A 7739-nucleotide genomic window follows, 5' to 3' on the forward strand; every position below is an offset into this window, starting at 1 on the left:
ATAAAATAAATCATTGTTCAAAAATAATGAAATCTCCTAAAACTAGAATGATGTAATAAATTATTTTAGTCTTACTATTATTTCTACTAAGTTGTTTAGAATAATTAGGTGGGCAGCGGTGCCTCACGCCTATAATCCCAGCACTTTGGGAGGCTGAGGCGGGTGAATTGCTTGAGGCCAGGAGTTCGAGACCAGCCTGGGCAACATGGTGAAACCGTCTCTACTAAAAAAAAATATATATATACAAAAATTAGCCGGGTGTGGTGGTGAGTGCCTGTAATCCCAGCTTCTTGGGTGGCTGAGGCACGAAAACTGCTTGAACCCAGGAGGTGGAGGTTGCGGTGAGCTGAGGCTATACTCCAGCCTGGATGACAGAGCAAAACTCTGTCTTACATTTTTAAAAAGAATGATTAGTATTACTGGGGCATAGTCATTTAGCAAATGCATAAAATAAGTGTGCTACAACATGGGAAGAAAAATGATACCAGTGTGCAAAGGCAAAACAAAATAATACAGAAAAAAAATTTGAATTTATGATTTACTCTAAAGGTAATATATTTGACTCAGTTTCAGCTGGGAAGTATTTTGGGGGATGTCACGTTCAGTGACATTAACTGATATTGAGTACTTTTGAAGGGAAGAAGGGATGAAAAATCATCCGCATTTGATATTTGGTCAAATAGCCTCTTGGGAAGGAGCCAATTCCAACTTTTCCTTTCTCATCACCATAACTTGGTATCTTTTAAGTGGCTTCCATTGCATTAATTTTTTCAATAACTCATCCTTCTGGGGGAGACTGTTCATGAGAAAAAATACTGAATGAAGGAGCTCTGACTCTATTCAATTTTAAAATCTTATATAACCCGTTCTTGCTCATACACTGAGTAAATAGCTGTTTCAACTGTTGCATAGTAATGGAGGGCCCTTTAGAGCTCTCAGAACTTTTTTAACCCAAAGGCTAGATAGTACCGAGAAAATGCTCCCTATGAAACCGTGATTCTAAAATGAACTATTCTTGAATGAATAATAAAATCCTACATACCTACAGCAATTAAAAATTGCAATTTCAAGTTGGTGGATTCATCTTTTATCTACACATGCAAATCTCAGCTTCCTTCGGCTGCTCCAAGGTAGATTCAGTGTATTTTGAGTTCTGTCTCTACCAACTAGTGTAAGCTCTAGACCACTAAAGACCACCCTCTTGAGAATTCACAGGAAAGATACCCTGTGGGCTCATATTCAGGTCCTATCAGCTACCACCAGGCCTATTCCTGGGCTCTCAGCTGCTTCAGCAACTGTTGGTAATCTGACAGAGAGAACGGTGATGTTGAGAATATTTAACAACTAGGACAGAGGCACCGACCTATCAGAATGGCTGTAAAAACTGGTTCAGGCATGCTGGTGTGCACCAGCTAATCTCAGCCTGCTCAGATGGGCCCAACCTCTTGGCCGGCTGCTCTCAGGCTGGCTTGGTCTGGCTCTGCCAGGCCCTGGCAGGGCAGGCTTCCTGCAGCGTGTGTCTGCTGCTGCTTCAGAGCCTGGGAGGGGGTCTGTGGCAACCTCTCTGCTCTCTCTGGGTGACACATCCTTAGAGAGGAGCAAGACCACTGCCGCGTACGATGCATAGCACCCAGAGTTTGCAGAGAAACATCTCCCACCATGTTCGCAGCCTTTTCCCTTCCCAAGAGATCCCAGAGGAGCCATTTGCCCAGTGCTCACAGTGGTGAAAAGCCTCAAATCTAGACTTTTGATGTGATTTCCAAGTGAGGTTAAATGTACAGTCACAGAGATACGCTGACTGGACTGAAAGGGGAGATATTTATGTTTAAATCTGGTCTCATGACCACACAGAAGAGCAAGTGGTCCTCCATAAATGAACACGTCTAAAAATCCTGTCATTTCCAGCCAGGCACTGTGGATCACACCCGTAATCCCAGCAGTTTGGGAGGCCAAGGTAGGCGGATCACCTGAGGTTAGGAGTTGGAGACCAGCCTGGCCAGCATGGTAAAACCCCATCTCTACTAAAAATACAAAAATTAGCCAGCTGCTCAGGATGCTGAGGCACAAAAATCACTTGAAACTGGGAGGCAGAGGTTGCAGTGAGCCAAGATCGCGCCATCTTACTCCAGCCTAGGTGACAGAGCGAGACTTCATCTCAGAAAAAACAAAACAACAACAACAAAAAAACCTGTTATTTCCTTGGAAATACGTATCACAGTAGACACAATCATTGTTATCAGATGTTGACTTGTTAAATACATATGTTTTTAAAGCACTATAATTTTTGTCACGGGTTTTGATGCTTAATTGTTTTTAATATATAGAAAGTGTGGAAAAATGGGAATGGCCCAGCATCAAAAACTCTGAGATGCCTGGGTCTGCCCAAGGTAACTGGCCTCTTACTAGAATCTGTCTTCTCACAACCAAAGCTCTGACATCTGCCCAAGCTGGTTGGCCTGACTCCCTCTTCCCTAAGGATGAGTTTGTTTCCAAGTCTCCGTCTCTTTTACAAGTTGACTTCCCCTAGAGCTGACTGACGAAGCCTGAGAAAGCCAGGCCTGACGAAATTCCAGGGGGCCCATTTTAAGCTAAACCCGGGAGAACAGCACTCAGTAGGAACTTAGTTACAGTTACATCTTACATACTCACCACCTGCCCAGCTTCCATTTAGGAAAAAGGAGTTCACAGCTTTAAAAGCGTTTTGAGAACAACTGCCTTAGAATGTTCATCTGCTGAGCAGAAGCGTGTATTTCTTAAATTCCAGACTGTGGCATCTTCAGAGGGGATAAAGGACAGTCCTTTCAGCTGAGTTCGTGAGTCCCGTTCTTCATGTTCTGGGTCCCAGTGCCAGAGAGTTCTGCAGTGCTGACAACCTGCACTCATACAGTAAATATTGTTCTTGTTTTCTGAACCTTTGGACAGTTGGGGGTGAAGGGAAACTTAAGAGGACTCTGTCCCCAGCCAATTGTTTGGATCATGAAATAAAGGAAGCCTGGGAGCTGAAGTAGAAGTCAGTATTGAATCTCCTGGGCCAGAGGCCACCAGGGTCAGTTCTGCACCATCCTCTGTGTGACCGTGGGCCGATCACACATCTTTTGACCTCAGATTTCCCTTGTGTGAGTTGCTCCATCCGTCTAATATCTCACTTCATTTATATCTGTTGTCAACTCTAGGCACCAGAATTTCAAACTGAGCTTAATCCTGTCCTATATTAAGATGGATTGGAACATGTCCATGAAAGCTGAAAAAATTTACTAAAAATGTAACCACTTTGAGTCATAGCTTATTGAAAATGAATTAAGTTCATTAGCTTCTAGTCATTGGAACAAAGCATTCTTTTCAGTTAAAGAGGGTTAGTCAAGAAAGACCTACCAAAATTTTTCACTGTGCACAATAGCATCAAGGGAGTTCAACTGCAGACCTTAGGGGGTTGGTTTTGTTTTGTTTTTCAGTATCTCACATGATTTAATTACCTTGTCCTGAGTTATATAACTCATTCCTCTTTGTGCTTTGATTTTTCCATCTAGGAATGTAGAAAAGCTTGCTACCTTCAAATGCAGACATATTGTGATAATTGTTGAGCATAATTTAAATACTCTGAATGTCTTAAATGAAAACTATGGAAGTTGAAAATATGAAGAAGCCAAAAGGAGTATTTGACAAATATTACCTCATTAAATCTCAACACCTTCATAAAATAGATGAAGATACAATCCCAATATTAATGAATGGAGACTTTAAGTAACTTAAGAAAACCATACAGCAAGTCTGCACTATGCATTCATTTATACATATGTATGTATAATTGCTTTTGGGTGCCAAAAGATGTTTAAGATAAGTTAAGAAAATTTACAAAAGTAGAAAATAAAAGGTTTGCATTCATCTAAATGCAGATTATGTATAGCACAAATCAAAGTTGTATTCATCTGACATTTTAAGGAAACATTCAGGCTTTCTCTTCTACAAAATGAAAGTTAATTTAAAATTAAATTTGAAAGATAATTTATGGTACTTATTCATTTATTATTTCTTTACAACATAAACAGTTGCACTTTAAGTTGAATTTTGTGCATGTAACCAACTATTGCAAATGTAAATACACATTATCTTTCTTCTGGATAATTGTGAATTTGTACAATATAAGCTATTAAGAGCACATTGTACCTTCAAAGCCATATCAAAATAAACAGTCCATTTTTAATGGTTACTACAAAGGCTCTTCCTAGGCAGTTTCTTTTCATCTTCTTTGTGACATTATCACTGACTGTATTTAGTGAGCCCTTTTGTTAACATCACCACCTCAGCTTGCTCTGCAGTCTAGACTGCAGCTCATGTTCCCAGGAATTTGGAGAAAAGAACTTTGCAACTCTTTCCCTTTATCTCCAAATATAAGTTTCCCTTGCCTGCTCTTAGGGAACTTGTGGGCCAATGAGTAGCAAGCGCTTAGGGAAAAGGGTACTTCTGCATAGGAGAGGACAGGCCATATTGAAAGATGACCCCAGATATTCTTTTATTATTATTATTATTATTATGTTAGACAGAGTTTCACTCTGTCACCCAGGCTGGAGTGCAGTGTCATGATCTCAGCTCACTGTAACCTCCAAGTGATTCTTGTACCTCAGCCTCCTGAGTAGCTGAGATTACAGGCATGTGCCACTATGCTCAGCTAATTTTTTTATTTTTCTGTATTTTTAGTAGAGATAGGGTTTCCGCTCTGTTGGCCAGGCTTGTCTTGAACTCCTGGCCTCAAGTGATCTGCCCACCTTGGCCTCCCAAAGTGCTGAGATTACAGGCATGAGCCACCACGCCCGGCCTCATTCTTGACGAGAAGTGTGAAAGCAAGAGAAGAGATCAGGACATGGAAGATGGAGGGCTTCTCCACTCCTGAAGAGGGCCGCTTCATGCCTCGATGTTAGGGGTCACAGGTTCGATTCCCCAAGATCAGACAAACCCACAAGGCAAACGTCAGTATTAGGACCATTCCCAAGAGAAAGGCAGATGTCTTTTGTATCATTTAGTGTATTGGATTTTGCATGAAATTTCTATATGCTGCTTGGGAATGTAATATCTGATTAAGAATACACAGCTGAGGAAAGTAGTAGGAAAGAGAAGATTTTTTGTGTTTGTTGTCATTTCATATTACAATTACTTTCTATTCCTTGCAGCACAAACTAAATGAGCAGGAAGAGGCAGCAAAAAGCGTACAATGTATTTGTGGGAATTGTAAATGTGGAAGTGAAGACCAGCCTCTGATTTATCAAAGATCATTAAATGAATTAAAACTTTTCCAAATTTCACCTTCAGAAGGTCATCATAGCAAACAAACCTCAGTTTGCAAGGCCAGTTTTAAAGAAGGCAGAACCCAGCAAAGCAAGCGTTTCAGGCTCTGAATAACGCTCAAATTCATCACAAACGTGCTGGGAATTTAAAAAGGAAGTTTGTGTTCTCATTGATTACATAACTAATAATTTTATGAAGCCTGTTTAAAATACTGATTTTTAAAACAGTGGTTATAATGTCAACTGGTTACACAGTGTCCATTTGTGACAATAAATGAAAAAGTGTAAGCAAGCGTGTGCTTGTGTGTGTTTACAAATGAGACTATCTTTGCCAGTGGACCGTTCCAATATGAAAAACATCCATACATTGTATTATGTAAACACAATCAAGGGGACCCATCATACCAGTGGTGGATGTGTAACCTGTATTTTCTTGGCACATAAGGTTCCACCAAGACTTCGATCTTCACAACATTACAGCTCCGAGCTGTCCCACGTCCCACCAGACCCTGTCCCCTTCTCTCCACTCATCCAGCGCGCCCACATGCGCGCGCGCGCATACACACACACACACACACACACACACACACACACACACACACACACGGGACTCAAGAGACAGTACACTCGGGAGATGAGTACAGCTTGCTTCTCTGCGGTCACCCGAGCACTGCAGGCTCACTTTACCTCTCGCCCAGGGAGGATGCCGGCTGCCGCTGCCCTCCGTCTCCACGGCTGTCCCCTTCTGGTTCAGCAGACTGGGGCCCTCGGTGTTTTCAACAGGTACCATGGTCACGTAGAAGTTACAGCCGCTTCCCCGCCACCAAACCGCCCCGACCACCCCCGCTCCCAGGAGTGGTCACTTTCCCCATAATAGCATGCTAAAGAAGAGTGTGGGGAAAAACTTCGGGCAAAGCTAATGTGATTTGTGACCAACTTTGTTTCTATTTCCGAAGGCTTTGCCCTTTTCGGTGACACAGGCTGTTGCTATTCCAAGCAGCCTATCACAGGCAGGGGGAGGGCCGTGAGTCAGAGGATTGTTTTTGCCTTTAGATGCAGAGTTGGAAGCAAGGGGTTAAAAGAAAGGGAACTCAGACGGAGTGTTTGGCCATTAGCTAAGGGTAGCTCTTGTATTCTAGCACCTTTGAAAAGAGGCAGAGAAAGGAAACATGCAGATTTAAATGCAAGCTGAGAGTGGGGATAGAATACTCACAGATGGTATCAGTTAATCTTGCAGAAAGAGGAACAATTTATGCAAAGACATACCAGAAGGAAAAGTGTGTCAATTTTTCAGCAAGACTGTTATTCCAAAAGTCATGGTATTTACCAGCTTACACAAAGCATAAAATACCTTTATTGTTTCAACCTGATTTTGGTCTAGGTAAAGGCCTATATCTTTCTCTCCAAGGCCTTTCAGATAAATCACAGCCTGAGACCAAAAATACACAAACTCAGAATGCACAGATTCTTTAGACTTTTTATATGCTGAGGTTATAGCAAAGTAATCCATTTCTTAATGCAGAATTGTCTTTAAGAGACAAATTAACACTGAATCCTCTGTTAGGTTTCATGTTTGCGTAGGTAGGAGGAGGATACTCCTCACTCAGAGAGGCCAGACTAAGTGGCCCATTGTGTGCGTGTGGTGGACATGTAATCTCAAACAAAATCAGGTCATGAGAGAGGATCTTTTTCTGATTTGTGAACATATTTATAAAAAAGTCTTACAGGGTTATGACATTTTACCTTCAGTTATTCATTCAACAAATCATGTTTATTAAAAAAAAAAGCCTTATAGAGGAAATTGAGATCATCTTAAAAATCATTTGGAATAAAAACTAACATGTGTGGAGCACTTATGTGCCAGAAATTGTGCTAAGCGCAATAACGCAGATGATGACTTTGAGGCAGGTACCAACATTATAGAAGAGGAAATGGAGGTTGGGTAACTTGGCTACAGTCTCACAGCTAATCAGTGGTAGAGCTGAGATTATGAATCCAGGAGGTCTAAAGCTGTAACTCTCCTATATTCTAACTTCCCAGCCTTGTCCTTCTCTAATTTTCTTGGCTTCCTATGGTTTCAGACCTACTCGACTTTAAGAAGATGCCGTGAAATATGGCTTTTAGTCATAGGCATTTCTCTGGACAGAAAAACAAATTTGTGCTTGTATAAGCAGAAGCTAAATTTTTGTTACTTCTTTTCAACATTTTAACTGAATCACTTCAAAGTTCTAAATTCACTTATTTGTACATTTCCTTTGCTTGTCATTAAATAATTCTATATTTTTCTTATCTTTCAGGGAAACAGGTAGCAAATGGAAACAAACCTATAATAATTCAACTAGTCTTTATTATGTACCCGTTGTATGTCTGCTGATAGTGCTAGAAAATGGAAGTCCTCCAGGCATAATCCAGGCCCCTTATGATTAAGAGGGTGAGAAGTTCAGAATCCCACACATCAGT

The 7739-nt window shown here is 41.1% G+C and overlaps 1 protein-coding gene across 3 annotated transcripts in view; it reads right to left on the reverse strand.

Annotated features, from left to right (window-relative positions):
* Positions 1 to 6213, reverse strand: part of SLC2A12 (solute carrier family 2 member 12) — a 65044-nt gene extending 58831 nt beyond the window's left edge. For all 3 annotated transcript variants that reach the window (NM_145176.3, XM_017010311.3, XM_006715349.5), the window contains exon 1: positions 5967 to 6213. In NM_145176.3, the coding sequence (NP_660159.1) occupies positions 5967 to 6069 (103 nt within the window). In that variant the 5' untranslated portion in view covers positions 6070 to 6213. The remainder of the gene's footprint in view (positions 1 to 5966) is intronic.
* Between the last annotated feature and the right edge of the window lie 1526 nt (positions 6214 to 7739).

The sequence above is a fragment of the Homo sapiens genome, chromosome 6, assembly GCF_000001405.40.
Source record: "Homo sapiens chromosome 6, GRCh38.p14 Primary Assembly".
Classification (NCBI taxonomy): Eukaryota; Metazoa; Chordata; class Mammalia; order Primates; family Hominidae; genus Homo; species Homo sapiens.